The sequence below is a fragment of the Homo sapiens genome, chromosome 18 (genome assembly GCF_000001405.40).
Source record: "Homo sapiens chromosome 18, GRCh38.p14 Primary Assembly".
In the NCBI taxonomy this organism is placed as follows: Eukaryota; Metazoa; Chordata; class Mammalia; order Primates; family Hominidae; genus Homo; species Homo sapiens.
The window spans coordinates 10,446,242-10,465,089 of record NC_000018.10 but is presented as its reverse complement, the minus strand read 5'-3'; the positions used below and the strand labels follow the sequence as shown (position 1 = coordinate 10,465,089).

General features: G+C 44.4%; 1 protein-coding gene across 1 annotated transcript in view; it reads right to left on the bottom strand.

Moving 5' to 3' along the window:
* APCDD1 (APC down-regulated 1) overlaps nucleotides 1-10,455 on the bottom strand; it is a 35,315-nt gene extending 24,860 nt beyond the window's left edge. The window contains exon 1 of the mRNA NM_153000.5: nucleotides 10,051-10,455. Within this exon, the coding sequence (NP_694545.1) occupies nucleotides 10,051-10,108 (58 nt within the window). The 5' untranslated portion in view covers nucleotides 10,109-10,455. The remainder of the gene's footprint in view (nucleotides 1-10,050) is intronic.

Genomic DNA, 18,848 nt, shown 5'->3' with positions numbered 1-18,848 from the left:
TTAACTCTCCAAGCCTCTGTCTACTCGTCAGTTATGAAGGGATAAAAACATCACCCACTTCTTAAGGTTGGTTTCAGTTTAGCACCCTGCCTTTCATTCCATGTTGGTTGGTATTATTTCAAATAATGATACGGCTCTCAGACCACCCTCAAAAAGTCCCCTCTAACTAACAGAACAGTTAAAATCATGGTAAAGTCACATGGAGGAGCCAGGCTCACTCTGAGCTCTGAGGAGGACAAAGTATAAGGACATAGGGCCTCCAGGCAAAGTTAAATGATGACCCTCAATGTAGAAGAGAGTGAGGCCCAAAGTGCCAAGCTCTGCAGTTGCTGCTAAGTTCTACTCAGTTTAACAAATACCTATCAAGGAGGCTGGGCACAGTGGCTCATGCCTGTAATCCCAACACCCTGGGAGGCTGAGGTGGAAGGACAGCTTGAAGCTAGGAGTTTGAGACCAGCATGGGCAAGGTAACAAGACCCCATCTCTACAAGAAAATAAAAATAGCCAGGCACAGTGGCACATGCCTGTAGTCCCAGCTACTCAGGAGGCTGAGGCGGGAGGATCACATGAGCCCAGAAGTTCAAGGCTGCAGTGAGCTATGATCGCACCACTGCACTCCAGCCTGGGTGACAGAGTGAGACCCTGTCTCTAAAATAAACAAATAAAACACTATAAACCTTTATTTGCTATACTTTAGGAGCCAGAAACATAAAGACTAACAAAGATGTTTTTGTGTGTGTGTGTCTGTGTGTGTGTGTGTGTGTGTGTGTGTGTGTGTTTACTTTGAAGCTTTTAAGGTCTCACTGGCCTGGATGTCAAAGAACAAGGGTCAAAATGATGAAGGAGGTTCTGGGAAGGAAGTTAGGGAGTTCAAAGGCAGAGAGAGAGGGAGTGGTGGTTAGCATTTGTATGGGTCATTCATAAGACTAGAGTCACACGGGAAAGGAGGCCTACAGTTACGTTTTTAACCAGTGATGGAAGAAATACAATCTAAGAACCTCCAATATGCAAATCATTGGAAAGCAGGAAAAAAAAGACATTAAATAGCCCAGGGTTTCTAAAGATCAATATCCATTTTGCTATTGCTCACATTTGACAATGAGCACAGCTCGGAAACCCAGCGAGGCTGGCAGTGCAGCCAGGGCACCCATGTGAGCGGCCAGATGGAGAACCCCAAGGCTGGCACAGCTCCCCAAGAACACAGTGATTTCAGGCTCACACTCTAGGGTGATATTCTATTTCTAAGATGGAAAAATGGGGTTGGTATTTATTCCATTTTTATCTTTTCCCTTCAAAGTACCCAACATCTTCATTACTCTTAAGGAGCAAAATTAAATGGGTCAAGTGAAAGAAGTTGCAGTAAGGCAGGAGAAACTGACTCTTAGGGCTTCAGTTCACCACTGCAAGTGGTATCCAGTATTTACTTGGCTCATCTGATGTGGCAAATGTGGATGACTTTCCTGTGAGTACTACTTCTGTTAAATGGCTGGGAATTAAAAAGTCATTTGAAGCACCAATTTCAGCTGCAGCAGAGGCCAAGCATAAAAGTTAGACCGGTAAACCCCAAAGCTTCCTTCTCAAGAATCAGTCATGGTGTGCCCTCCAGGGACACTTGTCTCAGATTTCTGGTCAACTAAGGAGCTCCTGTGTTTGTTGCATCGCCTGAAGTAAGTCAATTCCAAATTCGGGACTAGAACTAGCGAATCATTCATTCATCCAATCAGTAAGGCTCTGAAGGGCCAGGCACTGTTCTGGACATAGCATCTACAAACATTTTGCCCCAGGGAGTCTCGGTTGGGCAAGAAACTGTAGGGTTGTAGAGGACTCTAGACAGAGGGGGCAGGGTCTGAATTCTTCCTTGAGGGCTCATGGAGAGGCATCTCTGTCTTGAATATGGAACAGAAGTGGTCTAGGTGGAGTGTGCTTGAGCACACTCAAGCATGGGGGGCAGGAGTGAGAGATTCGCATAGGAGGCTCTAAGAGAAGGGGGCACGGGGTGACCTAGGACAAGGGGCAGAGGGAGGCAGGGCCACAGTTGAGAGCACCACACATCTGTTAACGCAGAGTGGGGACTTCACTGGAAAGGTGAAGGGGGGGCCACCAAAAGATTTTCTGCAATGTCGTGGTATGGTAAGAATTTTATTTTGGAAAAATCACTTTTCTGGTTTTTTTGGAGGGACATGGGGGACAGATTGAAAGCAGGAAGATCGATGATAAGGCTACTGCAATGGTTCAGTCTTGTATGATTTATTGACTGGATAAATGAGAAAGATAAAAGAAGGGAACAGCTCCCAACAAACTACAGTAAATCTTTTGTGTAGTGTTGGAGAGGCAATGACCATCTCTTGCATCTTGTGGGGGAAAGAATTACCAAAAAGTTATATTAAAAAAGGAAGGAAGGAGGGAAGGAAGGAAGGAAGGAAGGAAGGAAGGAAGGAAGGAAGGAGGGAGGGAAGGAAGGAGGGAAGGAAGGAAGGAAGGAAGGAAGGAAGGAAGGAGGGAGGGAAGGAAGGAAGGAAGGAAGGGAGGGTCACAGGAAGGAAGGAAGGGAGGAAGGGAGGGTCACAGGAAGGAAGGAAGGAAGGAAGGAAGGAAGGGAGGGTCACAGGAAGGAAGGAAGGAGGGAGGGAGGGAGGGAGGAAAGGAGAGAGGGAGCAAGGGGGAAAGGAAGGAAGGAAGGAAAGAAGACAGGAAGGAAGGAAGGAAGCAAGTAATTTAGCAGTACATCTGCATCTGAAAAGGAACTTTTGTAAAATATATATACAGCCTCCTTTAATACATTTTAAATTGCATAAATCAATCATCCCAGTGTTTAGCAATGCAAAGTTCAAGGACCGCACTAATAATAACCATTCCCGTGTGAGTACACCTATTATTTATAATAATAAATGTGCTTATTATATATAATGCTAAGTTTTTAAGCCCCCCCCACTTAATTGGATTACTTGTGTAATTGGAAGTGTTGGTTAATCACAATATTCAGTTGTTGAAACTTCTGCCATTGTATGCCAAGTGCAGTTTGACCTTATGATCTTTCTTTGACGATTCAGGTTCTTAGAAGTGCCTTAAGGCACTACCGTGCCTGTAGAATGGGGCTGTGGATAGAAAGGTATTGGAATGAACACGTAACAACACTGTGTAGACTACGGAGTTTTTTCCTCTTATTTTACAGATAAAACAAGAGTTAGAAACCATATACTATATGTGAGAGTACACACACAAATAATGTCAACATTTTGATTAGTTGAAGATTCTAGATGTTAATTAAGGGGACTAGGGAATGGAGTTCCCATTCACTAAGATTTTGTTGCGAGTGAATCTGCAAAAAAGAGTTATCTGAAAGGATTAAACAAATATTAAGAAAATGGCTGTGAGTTTTTGGTCTTCAAAGTGGTTTTGGGTAAGTCATCTAATATATGCCTTTCTTTTTCCTCTATAAATTAAACATAATGATCATGATGATAATGACTAATGTTTGCATTACACTCGACAATTCACTTTATGTATATATCATCTCATTTGATCAAATGCTAGCTACTATACAGGTACAGAGGCACTCTTGATTGAGAATGTGTAAAGTCAGTCCATGGTACTGTCTAAACTTGAAGCTCTCCAGGGACTGTTCCCAGTCCAGAGGAATTCTGAATAACGTTATCCAAATGATTCCACCATAAAATGGTCTCAAACATTGGGGGTCCAATGGTCTGGGCCCTGATAAAATTATTATGGCAAAGGGAGTAGTTTCTTCCAAATGAATGTCAGAGAATAAAGTAGATTCTGGAAGGAATGGTTCATCTGTTAGAAACAAATTAAGCCCTGTGTGCTTTAGGACATAATTTTATAGACAACCATATCCAGAGCACTAAATGAGATCCTGGAGCTCTGGAGGGCTCGGTGGTATGTAAGTGTGTGCACCTGCGTGTGTGCACTAGTGATTTACTCCCAAGGAATACATTACCCCATGATAGTAATCCTAAATGACTGCACAATGATTGTAAACTACAATCATAATCACCATAGGCTACCAGAGAGTGAAAATTCCCAAAGATATCACATTTTAAAAACAGAGTTACCTAAATGAAAGGAAGCACAGGGTTGACCATTGACATGGAGGTTTATGCCCTAAATAAAAGGCCTGTGTGTCAGGTTAACTGTTCACATCCCCTGAATTCACCAGATCATGCACATAGAAAGCAGTCCTTGGCATAGTTTCCAAAGGGAACACACACAGTACTTCTGCTAGAGCCATCCACAGCAGATCTCATTCCTAAACCCATGGTGTGCTAAGGAAGCACGCCAGTGTACCCGGAAACCAAACAGAGCCTTTGTAGACAGTGAGAGAAGAAAAAGGGTGGGGTGCCTGCTGGACTTTTGCAAGTCAATATTCATTCATTCAACAAATGGTTGAGTGCCTACTATGTGCTCAGGTATCTCTTAGGCTTGAATCATTGCGACATATACAGGAAAAAGTGAAATAGGACAGTATACTCCATGTACAAGTCCTTGATTTTTCAATAAAGTTTTTTTTGCTTGTTTGTTTTTTGTTTTTTTTTTTTTGAGACAGAGTCTTGCTCTGTCACCCAGACTGGAGGGCAGTGGCACGATCTCGGCTCACTGCAACCTCCGCCTCCTGGGTTCAAGCGATATTCCTGCCTCACCCTCCCGAGAAGCTGGAATTACAGGCATGCGCCACCACACCCAGGTGATATTTTTGCATTTATTTTTTAGTAGAGACGGGGTTTCGCCGCGTTGGCCAGGCTGGTCTCCAACTCCTGACCGCAGGTGATCTGCCCGCCTTGGCCTCCCAAAGGAGGCCCTTGGCCTGGGATTACAGGCGTGAGCCACCGTGCCCGTCCTCAACAAAGTTTTAACAATCTGAATTATCTAGATGAATATATTCCACGGTTTTTCACCTGCCGATCTATATTGACTGAGAAATCAAAAGTTCTGATCTATTTTACACATAATAAAATGTAAAATTATTTGGGAAGGAAACGATAATTTTCAAGCACACGTGGGGCTAAACTAATCTTTGATCAGGTTAATCTCTATACATGTACTCTAAGGCTTAAGGGAAAAAACCTGAACTTGAAAAGGACTAAGTATAATGTCAAAATATCAACCATTATGGAGAGCTTAAAATGATTCTTTTCTGTTCATTTTGCAAGTTTCTGTACTTTATATAATGTGCCCTGTATACTTTAATAATCAGACTGAGAAAAGTGTTCTCGTTAGAATTGTTGTGATACATAAAATGTGACTGATTAGATTAAGTGCAAGTAATTACTTAGCCATGAAATTGCCTGCCCAATTAAATAAGCAGTCATTACTGTAAATGTGTGCTTTGAAGTGGGTGCTGGTAGATAAACTCCAGCACAGGTTTCCATTTTTTTGAAATAAAAGCATGTATGTATTGCAGACTGTACTGAATTTTACCACCATTGTGGTACTTCTGCTTATCAAGTTCTTGTTTTTATTACCATTTTTTTTGCAGTAAGCTTGCTGCTTTTGCCCATCTTAAAATCTTCATATCTAAAAGTCGTCTCTCTTTATGAGCAATATAATAAGGTCAAGTTTTCAAATTCCTGGCTCCACTTGACTTTAGTTGAAAACAAGTTACTTTTCTGTGCCACTTTATAGTGCCATAGTCCTCAGGGTGGACACTGGAGCTGAACCAGAGGTTGCAAAGTTTGCATGTTGGATCTGCAGCTGACTAGCCACATCCACCCTCTTCAACACAGTTGTGGTCTGTGTGTGTGTGTGTGTGTGTGTGCACGCTTGTGGGATTCCCAGCAGGGAAAATAGTGCAATCAACTGCAGTGTGCCATCCACTCAGCTCTGGGGCTCTACAATCAGTATTTCTTCCCTTCTCTCACCTAGATATTCTTCAAGAATCCTCAAGGAAGGGAGAATGCTACCTTTCGGCCAGTGGACCTGGCAAGTGGTGGCACTTGGCACATAGTAGGCCCTCATAGATGAACTTTCTGAATAAATGGTTAGCTGAATGAATGAAACCGGAAAACCCTTGCAGAACAGAATATCCTTAATAATTTTAGGATGATACCATATCCTTTCTCCAACCTTGAGATGTACATACCTATCACATGACTTTCCACAATAATTTTATTCCCAAACTGGAGAGGACTAAGCAATGGCCTATGTACACAAAACCAACCCATTAAGAACTCATACGTCCAGGATGGTAGCGGATTTTTTCCTGGTTTTCCCTGCGATCACTTCAACTCCAGGGGAAGAGTCTACTGAAGACATGCCTTGCTGTGTATCTTTCAACCGATGTAGACAATCACTAACACATCATCTTCTATTTCTGGTCTGAAATGTTTTATGCCTCCCTTTGATTGATTATATTGTCATCAGTCTGTCCCTAAATAGTAGTATGTAATTACACAGACATATCACCCACCTATATTTAGTTCTTTTCTCATTTAAGGGGAAAAAGAATGAACTCAGCTAGTATAAAAGAATGAAATTGGCTTGTCAATCTCTTTAACAGAGGATATTTAACATCTGTCTGAGACCCTTGCCCCTGTTGGGTACAGGTGAGTCATGCTTCTTTTCAAGACTTCATTTTCTTTTTATGACTAAGAGGAGGGAAAAAAGTGCAGGAAAGAATGTTTTCTTGGTCACAAAAACTGTCCTTAGTAAAATAGTTTTTCAAAGATTTCTATTTTACCCTGTATAAACGTTTCCTCACATTATGTCGGTTAAACTCTCATTTGGTAATCTGCAAAGTTTTTAAAAGTCTTGACAGAATAAGCTTTAATGAAAGGAGAGAGCTGAAAGAGCCTTCACCTCTCAGAAAAGTCAACGAATTCTACAAAAGTAAACAGGGTGTGGGAATAGAACATCTCTCCCAACATCAGCTCCAAAACTCAAAATCAAATGTTTCCATTAGCAAAGAGAATCAGGCACTCCACTGCGGCATTACAGTCACACTTATTCTGGATACCTCATGCTAATCTGTGTTTTGGAGCTGAATGGTTTCTAGAATTTGACATCTGAAACTTTTGTGGCTTTTATCTAAGCAAAGAAAACAGTGATAATGGACATCTTCCAGCTGCATACCTTCATGACATTAAATAGGCTTTATTTGGATTAAGTACTGCAATTGTTTTCAGAATTTGAAGAGGAGGAAAGTAAAACTGACATGTATACTTTTATGCCATCAAATTTTGAACTTGGGTCTCGCACCACATTTGCAGTCTTAAATAAACAACAGGCTCAAGTCTTGCCAGAGCCTCATTTACTCACTGATAGGATTTAGGGGTGATTTATAAGTTGCAATGAATTGAAATAGAAGTAGCCACAAAACCGAACAAAGACTGGATGCCAAACATAATGGTTATCTACTGCATCCTCACACAGGATGCACTTCTTGCACTTCTTAACCTGACTTGGTGGTGTAACAAATAAATCTCTAAATGATGTGTGAAACTAAATTTATTAAAGTTTATCACAGGAACATCCAACACCATAGAACAAATGCTTTTATCTACTAAGTTGACCCATAAATAGACAAATGGTATCCTATGGTTAGCAAAATAAAATGCCTATTTATCAGGAAAAAAAATCACTAATTCCTTAGAAGATTTCAAGAATTGCCTTCAGATTTATAACTTCTATTTAAATATATGATCACACTCCATCTGTTACTACAGAATTCTTAAATGCCTGCAAAGCGCCTATCAGTTGAGTACGACATATTCAGCAAACCATTCCCTTGGTTAGGTTGAGTAATACCCATTTGCTGTTAAAAGTACTTCAATCAAGTAGATGTCATGGGGGAAAGGGGAAAGGAAGAATATCCCATTCTTTTCTGGTGCTTTACATTATCCTTGCTAATTATGGCAAACCTTTCTTAAATCCTGAGGATTTATAACTTGAACAATGATTTCCTCTGTTTATTTTCTGCACTAGAGTCTGATACTCTCTGCTGGATCTAAGTAGACCTTTGAGCAACATTAGTTTTAATAATTGTGCCATTGCAGATTCTTTCTGAAATTGGATAACTTTTTATCGGTTTATCCATGTAACCCAACTCAACTTTGCAAACCTCCCTTTTTATCTTATCTTCATATATACATATGCACATATGTGTACACACAAATGCATACACACATACCAGCACGCACACGGTCTGTCTCCACTGTGCTCCCATTTATAGCTCAGACTGCCCTTCCCAGTTATTTCCTTGCTCCCCAATCCCCCTCCCAACACCATGGGGTCTGGGGAGCCCTCCTCCCTCAGATCCCCGGAGTTATGGAAGATTCCAGACTCAAATTCTCAAACTCAGGAGATTTGGAGCTCCTGTCTTCATTGAGGATATACTTGGGCTCTTGTTACCTGTCAGCCATTACTACCCCAGCTTGGACTGCTAAATAGGAAGTATAATTACAACCCCTACCTCTCAAAATAGGGAGAACATGTTCAGAGTTACCTTGTGTACAAGGTTGCATCTCTGAGGATCACTTTTGTAGTTTAAAAGGCAATGATTTTACCCCAAAAAATGCTGTTCATGCCAACTTTTTAAGTAATTTTTTAAATTTTAAAATCATTTGACCATACTATCTTTTTTCTTCACAGATATTACAACAATTTTTTTAAGGGGGACAATGTTTCCTGTTTCATCTCTCTCTTTTGTTTCTTGTGTGTGTGGCAGCTGCTGTTTGATCTGTTCATTGGCTCTGATTTGTTTCATGTTTCAGCCAAAGATTAAAACTGCTCTGTAATTCTAAGCAGATGGGCCTAGGAGTCCAACCCTATAATTATACCTTCTCTCTTTTTGCCCTCTGCAAGCCTTCCATCCCGACTGTTAAAATTCTGGGATCACTGGGGCTCTGAGTACACCTTGGCAACTGGACAGGTCTGGCCCAGCCAGACAAGTTCACAAAGCCTGTGGAGCTATGCGAGCCATCCACCTGGGGCAGGACTACAAAGAAAACAGCATCCCGGTGGCTTGTGGGTTAACAATTCTTCCCTTTCCTTGATCCTCCGGAGGGAAGGTCCTCAGCCTGACTTTCAGTCCTGGCTACCATGCATTCTGAAGCCGGAGCCCGCTACAGGTTTGGGGTGGCTGTGGTGGGTGTTGAGGAAGGAGAGCCGTGAAGTCATGCTGTTGAAACGTCAGGTGTCTGACCATTAGGGACAGTTTGCTCAGGACATCCACATCAACACGACGTGATCTGCCACGGCTTGTCAGGATTATGAACCCGACGCGCCATAAAACCTGCCTTGTCCACCCCAAAGAAATTCTGTCTTGGTGTTTTCAGCGCAATTTCTGGAACCCGCTGAAAGGGCTGATGTTCTCTAGCTAAAGGTTTACTAGAACCCCTGGGGAAAAGTGGCACTGGAAGCCCAGGAAATGGGACGTCAAGTTGGGGTGCACATTGGGAGACTGGTAATAATGATTAAATCTTGGCTAATAGGGGTCCCCTGTTTCTTAAAATTACACCCAGAGAACGCAACAGTCCACTTGGGAGAAAACCCCACAACCCCGCCTCAATCGCGAGGCAAAGTGCAGGCAGACAACAAACACTAGTTTTCAGAAGGCAGACAGACGTGTCTTTCCCAAATGATCAGTTTCTCTTTCCACTCTCCTAAACGCTTGGAACACATCAAGAGCCTGCTGCATTCTGGCATTTTGGAAAAAGGCTCGCAGAGCCGGCGATTTCATGGCAGTGTACAGTTGGAAAATCCAGCAGAGCGGACGAAAGTTTCCCTCGGACTGGATGCAACGGATTCTGGACATAAAAGGTGTCTGCGTGGGAGAGCTTCCACCCTTCCAAAAAGAACAGTCCCGCAGCAAAGAGCTCCGGGCGCCCTGGGGGAGAGCGGTCCCAAGCCTCGGAAAGTGGGCAGAGCCCCCTCTCCCAGGGCTGAGACGGCAGGCGCGGGGCTCCCCTCGGACCCGCCCCGCCAAGGGGACAGTGTAGGCCGTGCCGCGATCCAGACCCGACGCCTCCGCGGGCTCCGCGGCGCCCGGGCTGCCTCCGCCGGCTGGGAGCGCTCGAGTGGCCCTCGGGAACTCACCGTGAAGCAGGAGGGCCGGGAACAGGTATCTGAGCAGGAGGCGGCGCGGCCAGGACATTTCCAGTCCTGCTCTGGGGCCTCCCGCACGCCGCGCTCCGATTTGGTGCCCGGGCAACTGGGCGCGCGCTCTGCCCTCCGCCTCCGGCCGGGTGCGGCCGGGCCAGGCCGGGGCTTCAGGCGGCTGCCGCGCGCCCCATGCCCGGCGGGCTAGGCGCGGGGCTGCGGGGCGCGCGCTCTCTGGGCGCCGTCGGGCGGCTGTGGGCGCCCCGGCCCGGTCCGCGTCCCGGCCTCTCTGCCGCCCGCCCCGACTTCTCCGCGCCCGGCCCCGCGTCCCGCCCCGGCCGCCGCGTGCGCCGCTCTGAGCTGCAGTGGCCGCCACCGCCACCGCAGCTGCAGCGTCTCTTCATATTTCCAGCGCGCCGCCGGCCGGGCAGCCTGGCCGCGGCACGGAGGAGGGGCCCTGGAGGGGGCGGTCGGGGGAGGCGACGCCGAGCCACCGCCCCCGGGCAGCCGCCGCCGGGGGGGAGCGCGGAGACTTGAAAGGGCGCGTCGGGCAACGCCTCCCCTCCTCCCACTCCGGGCGCCCCTCCTCCCCCCGCTCCCCTCCCGCTTCCCTCCTTCCCCTCTCTCGCCTACCCCTCCTCTTCCAGCTTCCTACCCCTTCCATCCTCCCCTCCTCCTCTCCTCCCTCCAGGCCCCTCTGCCTCCCTCTGGCTCTGCGCACCCCTTTCTCTCCTCCCCGTCCCCCATTCCGGGCGCGCTTCCTCCTTGGAGGGGGTGGGAGCCTTTGGCCCCGCACCCCGCCCGCAAGGAAAGAGAATGCGCGGGTCACCCTTCCGCCTCCGCCCACTCCCCTGGGGAAAGGTGTTCAAAGGGGGTGCGGGCGGCGAGGCTGGAGGCCTGGCGTGGGATCCAAGCAAAGCGGCCTGCTGAGCCGGGGTGTGTGCCAGCGCGCAGCCATGGGAGAGAGGGGAGACCAAAGAGAGAGTCCTGGAGGGTTGCTGGGGGTGAGGATGCGTCAGTGCTGGGCCCCCTCGTGGGTGCGGTGCAGGTCTTCACTACAAATCGCCTACCCCGGCCCAGTGCCTGGCTCCTCTGGGGAGCACGGAGAACCTTGTCATAGGCCCCAACCTGGGAAGGGCACGGTGTAGGAGGCAGGAGCCCGTTCACTTTTTCCTCCCCCTTCCACTAGGCAAATGACTTGTTGAAACGGGAGAAATCTCCGAGAAACGCTCCCTGTCAGTCTAAGAACGTGCACTTAGGCCCCTTCGCCGAGTCCTCTTCTCTTCCAGAGCAAATTGAATCACCACAATCAAAGCTGATTTTATTTGTGTTCGCGGTCTTGTGGGGGAGGGGGGACTACATGGGCGTTTGAGACCCAAAGGCAGGAAGAGTTTCCCCTGGGGTCCTTCGTTCTCCAATGCGGGTACAAGGCAGTGGCCATCTGATTTACCTGGAAGGTCCCTCCTCTGCCAAGGGCCTGCTTGAGCCCTTCCCCTCTTCCAGCAGTTTTCCCCCTCCTAAGGTTAATGTCACCTCTTCTCCACACTAGGATAAAGAGCAGACAGGAGACCCAGTGGAGTCTAGAGAACATTTCTTGACGCAACCGTTAGTGTTTTTCATTTAAAAAAAAGATTAAAATAAATGCCTGATTTCCCAAGAGAATTCTCTGCCCCTTTGAACAATGCAATAATTCAACTCCTTATGTGTTAGACTTTCAAAAGTAGTTGGATCTTAGCAACGGTATAATAGTAAAATAGATGAGAATACATTTGACAGTTTCCACTTTTCTTTTTTTTTTTTTAACCTGAGAAATCCATGGGTGTTTTGATGTGATAGTGCTGACGCTGTTTGATGTGTCTTAATTTTTATCACCATCATTATCATCTTTCCATCATTAATACAGAGGATCATAAGATGTACCAGCTGCTCAGCTCACACGGATGTTGTGAAGATTAATGTGCTCCTGTTTGCAAATCTTGAAGATGAAAGAATACCTGTGTGGGCAAAAAGAAGATCATGAAAACGATGCCTATGAGCGCAGGCATTATTTTGTGTTAGTCTTGCTCTGCCACATCTTTCTGAGCCTGACTTTGTACCTGATCGTTCTCTCATCCCAGTTGCTAGGCTTGGGTAGCAGACTATGATTTGTAAGATTTGAATGTTTGCCAAGGGCCAATCAAATTTTCATTTTAAACCAAGAATTTGACTTCTTCACGAATGTTGGGCAGTTGGAAACGATGTAAACAGCATACTTGGTTGGTTATGCAGAACAAAAGCCTTGTCACCAAGAACACATATGAAGTGGTGTTTAGTTTTTCAATGTCTTTTAGTCATTTGATGCCTTTTAGTCCATCAAAGAATATTTGAAACAAGCAAATGGCTAAGAGAGTGTTAGGGGTGGTGCATTTTTGTATAAGCAAATAGGTTGACAGCAATGGAAAAATGTTTAGGTTATTCATCACATATTAGAAGAACAGTTAGGTCATGTATGTGCTTAATTTTTTGATTTTGTTATTAAAAAAAGGATAAAACCAACAGGTCAGCTGTAATTTGGTGTCATTTTGACAGTCAAGTTGCTTCAATTTTTGTTTTTCCAACTGGTTTTACTGGTGTGGTATAAACGTAGCCAGAATGAAGTCAGCAGTTTCAAATTTGTTTTGCCAGTTTATTTTCCCCATGTAGTGTCATAGATTTAAATACTCGACCCTCAACATAACATCCTGCCAGAGTTACTACTGCCTGAAAATGTCCCCGCAACGTCCAACAGTCGAGAAGATCTAGATTTGTCCGAGGATAAGTTCATTTTCTGCATTACTTTTCACTTCTGCTGTTAATGTACCTCTTTCTGGAGAAGAATAATGAAAGGAAAAGGAAGACATGTAAATTTGTCTTAGAGAGGTTATTTGTGGATATATGTTTAGAGTAATAGAACTGGGAAGCAAGCATTGCTAGGGAGGTAATAAGTGGCTGTTAAATCCAGCACAGAATCGGGACCCCTGAAATAAGCACAGGGAATTCCCCAAACCACTTACGAGAACCCAAGCCTCAAGCAGGAACATGTGGAGCCCAGGTCCTGGTGATAATGGGAGTGTCTTTGGCAGGGACAGCTGGACAGGATCCCCTTAAGAGCATCAACAAGTGTGTTAGAATATCTGGAGCTGTTCATAAATAACCCTGGCCATGCTGATGGAGAAGAGGAAACTCAAAGGAGCTAAGTTCCCAGCCACACAACACATCGCCTCTTGGAACGCCTGTGATTTGTTCAGTTACCAACTCACGAGGCCTGTCACGTGTCTACCAAGCGGTTTTTTTTCCACAAACGCAGTTGCCCTATGAGCTTCTATAATCGCCTGTCTTTGAGTCAGAACCAGTCCTTTGCTTTTCCCTAGGAACGCTCAATCATGAGTAAATTTCCTGGGATGTAGAGCTTGGGTGATCGCCTTAGCTTGATTTTCTTAGGAGGGTGTCTTGATTTTTAGTGAGTACAGAGTAGTAGAACGCTCTATTTCATTGTTGTCCTGGGAGGCACAAGGACCAATGCCCCTTAAAACCTGGGCTACAGTTTGGTTTTCTAACGCAGTCATTGTGAAAATTGGTATAAAGTTGGGCCATCATGCAAGTCATTTAGTCATTTGGAATTTCTGAGATTCTAGGCCTTTTGGTTCTAAGAAGGGCCAGGGTATTTAAAACATGGATTCTAGAACACAGTCAACTATGAGTATGGTCGAAAGCATTTGACTACCCTCTGAGTCCTCAGAGCCTACAAAATGTCACCAGGAATAGACTTTTCTTGAAACTTGTCAGATATCAGTTCCAAGCTTGTGAGGTTACATTAAATTCCCACAGACTGGAAGCATCCAAAGGCCAGGAGTGGTTGAGTCATCACCATTCCCCTTTTAGCACCTAAGCCAGTATTTCCAGTCTTTTGCCCACAGCAGGACTTTGAGAAATGGTAGATATAAAATTTCAAAAATCCTACACAGCTCCCTCAGAGGCAAAGACAACGAAATTATCCTGAGGGGCCCTTAGAAGGGGGCATATTTTGGAGTTATATTTTTTAAACACGTTAACTAGAACAAGCTCTATTTTGAAAATAAAATGCAGTTTAGATATATCCCTGAGCAACACAGCCTCTGAGGTTAAGAAATTAAATGTTACATTCCATTTTATACTCCTGGCGTTTATCAGAGAAAACAAATAAAATGTTTGTGAGCTTAGCAAGCATTCATTCATGTTTTGACCAACTGGTGAGTATCAGATACATATGTACAACCACCTGAAATTAGGAACAGGTATGTATGAAGGGGATTTGGCTTAATTGTTCATTTACCCTCTGTCACGAGTCTGTTTGGGGGACTGATGAGAAGACTATGGACCTTCCCACTGGAAGAAAATATGAGATGACCTCAGGGACAGGAGACACTCAAGGACCTCAATAGCATTTTTGTCTGTACCTTCATGTGACTTAGAGACGATTCTTCCTTTTAGTGCTGATTGCCTTCTATGTCTAACTGCTTTATCTGCGCAACTAAATTATTTGGCCCTTTGAAGGCAGGAAGAAAATCGGGTATTATGTGTGTGTCTCCTCCCCCAGCCCCTTCACAAGTCCTTCCATAATGGGCATTTGTTGGACTCGTAAATGAGGCAGGATAAGATCAGAGCATCAAAAAATAGTCTTTATGAGCCACCACCACCCTAAGCCACTTCGGCACCCAACTACAGAAACAGGAAGATACAAAAACTCTGGTATTCACTCCGAGCATACCCGAGGTTGTTATGGCACACATAGCAACACTCAAACAAATACAACAAATAAGAGGCAGCCTGGCACAATTGCTAAGGAGCCAGATTCTCTGGGCACAATCTCTCAGCTCTATGACCCTGGGCAAGTTACTTAATCTGGCTGTGCCCCAGTTTCCCCATCTATAACATGGGGATAATAGCAGCATATACCTGCACATAGTTAAGTGTTACATAAGTGCACCCTAAATAATAATTCACTGACAATAATGAGCTTAGACTAGACCATACATTCTCACCAATAGCAAAATTGCCCCCAAGGGAGCAAAAATTGGTTCTTAGAGGGGGAGGTGAAAAAACTTAGATATTACAATGATTTATAGCCCTCCAAAAAGGCAGTACTTAAACAGATGTAAAGTGTATCCATGGTACTTACAATCTAATGGGATGAGTAAAAAAAAAATGTTTAAAAAGCTTCCTTCAGGGGCAATAATAAAAAGGAAGTTCGAGAAACATTGTACAAGATGAAAAATTATAAGATTAGTCGTATTACAATTAGTCATGTATCAAACATTTTAATAACTTTGTTCCTTTAATTCACTATGTTTTGATTATATGAAACCAAATATGTTTTACTTCAACTGACCATCTGGGGTGGCAATCTACCATCTGATTACATCATTGTAACATTACATTCAGTGTTATCTTTCATTGAGATAATTCAGCTATTACTAGTCTCTCTTTGCAGATGGGAAAACTGAGGCCAAAGAGTGGTTTGCCTAAAAGTCACAACTTTAAAGGGGCAGAGTCACTGGGTTTTCTGGCTCTCAGTAAGGTGCTATTTGCAGCTCTAAGACTAGACAGAAAAAAAAAGTAGAAAGTAGAAAAATTGATTTAGATGTGTTTTGAGACATTCAAGCTAAAGGGGAAAGGTAGGAATGTTACATAGGCTATTTGGACATTTATTGCAGTTGGTATCTGGTACTATAGTTCATTATTTCATGCATAAAATATTCAAACGTTTTAGTGTTTAAAACAGATTATTGCACGCTGTAAGATAGGCAAGTGGACCAGCTAACTACTAAAATGCTGCCCACTGCCATGAATCTCTGAAATTTTCAGTATTAGGACTTGACTAGTCCTTTTAGAATGTACACATTTGTGTGTGTGTGTTTTGGATTGTGCATATTCAGGGAGAGGAGCCATATGAAATCACATTTCATCTAGCTGAAACTTAGGTCTCTAAAGCAGAGCTAAGCGAAAACAGAACAGTCCTCTGGGCCACCAAATTCAACATCACAAAGTTCACACGATGCCTAATCTCCATAGTTGTATAAAACTTTGAAATGCTCAAAAGATTTTTCAAATACATGGTCTCCTTTGATCACCATGCCATTTTTTTTGAGGGTCAGAGGACAGCCAAGGCTGTTTAATGTAAAGACGCAAACTTGAAGTTCAGAGAGTTTTGAGATGCCTCTACAGGCGCTGAGGGTTTATGTACCTTCTGTTCTGCGAGAGCATACCAGGTGCTAACTTAGAATGTGTTTTATTTTCACATACAGAAGTTGGTGACTTTGATGCTTCTGTCCTTACAAAAAGAGAAAACTTCTACAAACAGACACAAACCCAAGGCTGGAGGATTGCTTGAGATCAGGAGTTCGAGACCATCATGGGAAACACTGCAAGACCCTGTTTCTACAATTTTTTTTTAATCAGCCAGGCATGGTCGCACATGCCTCTAGTCCCAGCAACTTGAGAGGCTGAGGTGGGAGGATCGCTTGAGCCCAGGAGGTCAAGGCTACAGTGAGCTATGATTGCACCACTGCACTCCAGCCTGGGCGACAGACAGAGATCTTGTCTCTAAAAGAAAAAAAAAAAAATGCCCCAGAGTCAAAAATAAATTAACCCTATAAACCTAAGAAAACCTTACATGCTTGTATAGTTTATTGTCTTACACTGTGTCTCTAAATTTTTCATAGGCTTTAGCCCAGTGCCTAAATTAGTAACTCTTCATAGACTCTTGATTGATTAGATGAAACCAAATGTTTTACTCCAGCAGACCCATTCGAGTTAAATGAACAACAGCAAATATGGTGGCAAATCATACTGGAGAAGAGACTAGCATCATAATGTGCACCACGTTAAGTTCAGCTTGGTCTGGGAATGGCTTAGCCTTACTTGTGTAAAGCATGAACTATCTGCTGCTTCTACTCCCAATCCCTGTATTCTTGGAGAGCCTCTAAGTCTGCGTACTCAGCACACGTTGCTCTGCAGTGGCAAGGAAAATTTCTTGAAGCAGGGTCAAGGACACCAACCAAAGTCTGGAGAATTTATAGAACAAAAGATCAACATGGCTATGAGCTCATCCAGAATGAGCTACAGGACAGCAGGTTTAGGCAGGAGTCTCTGGGCATAAGAGGTCAATCAGTTGGCTGATCTTATGTCAGTGGGGACGGCCATACAGCGGTGGGCGCAAAACATCTCCCCCTGTGAGATAGCTGGATGAGCACAGTCTCCATCAGATGTGGTGTCCACAGGGTGCCCCAGAGATGCAGCAGGTGGTAAACTGTAAAGCTGTACTGCTGGCATTTAGACCAGACCTTTGTGCTTTTCTCTTGGAACTCGAGGGTTGAGCAACTCCAAAATCATCAGTAGAAGTAGATGCAAGCAGCACTTAGGTGGAACTCTTCATCTTGCGGAGGTGATGTCCACCCGTGATGGGTGGAAGAGAGCCTTGAGTCTCAGCGGAGGGTTTAGGGCTACGAGGAAACCGAGACCCCTTGAAGTCAGACCTTCTCCTGAGTATGAACTCTTATTTAGATTCCAGGTCTCCTCATCTCATTTTAGGGCCTCTTCCACCTCCACTTCCACTTCCTGTGCTTCAAGGTCATATTTTATCTCTCATAATGGTTAAAAACTTGGAAAGCAAGGGCCTTATGAAACATTATGTGTATTCAATTAATTGTATGCCAGATTCCTGTTAAATGTGTATACCACATCACAAATTCCTTTCTTCATTGCATCAATTCCACCTTTGCTGCTTCTAAAGATATGTTAGGCTTTCCTGTTCTGGTATCCAAGTATTTTCTACTTCACCACAAGCCCCTGGTTTCTAACCATTATACAGTCTTTTAACACAGTAAACTAAGCAATGTCAGTCTTACCTGTGGTACTTGTGGGTGTTGTTTTGTGTTGTGTTGGCCTTGCTCGTCATAGCTGTTTCCTTTGTGCCCCTCTGTGGGATGGCCTTTGTGCTTCCATGAGGGTGAGCCATGGGGAAAACATTCCAGAAGAATCTATTCTTGTTGCAGAGCAGGCCTGGATTGTCTGGGAGAGTGACAGACAAGCAGAGACATCAGAGGCCACATTCCCGTGTGCAATCTGCCATACTTTATAGGTCCTCAAACTGCCTTTCCTGTATTTTAATGCAGAACAAAGTACAGAAAACGTTCTTTGCCACTGCATAGCTGGATGTGCAGAGTATGCTAAGACTAGTGGCCCTCCAAGAATACAGGGAGGGGACGATAAGGGCAGCAGTTGTTCATGCTTTATGGAAAAGAGACGAAGCCATTCCCACCCCAAGCTGAAATTAACTTGGTGCACATTGTCACCAATTCCATGGAAGCCACTGTGGCAGACAGACCTCATGAAAGCAAACACTCTTCAAGGTGGGTCGTCTTGTTATAAAGCCATCTGAAGACGGCTGACCCAGCCTATTGTACTGAATTCAATAGCTTGGGTTTTAAATCTTGACCAATCACCTGCACAAAACTTTGCTTTAAAGACCCTCCCCTACCCCCTCCCACACATTCACCTCCCACTGTGCCAGAAAGAAATCCCTGCCATGGAACCCAAGCATTCATTCATGCAGGTCTGACCCCTGGGGTGTAGAAGATGCTGGAATGGAGGAACTATAAAGTGCTTCCAGTCAGGAGTTACTACAACTACCACCAGAGGACACATCCACCTATGTGTTGTCCAGCTCCAAGACCTAAATCCTCACCTTGGATAATAAGTGATGCTGACAAATATGCTGTATTCTATCTGCTGCTGGC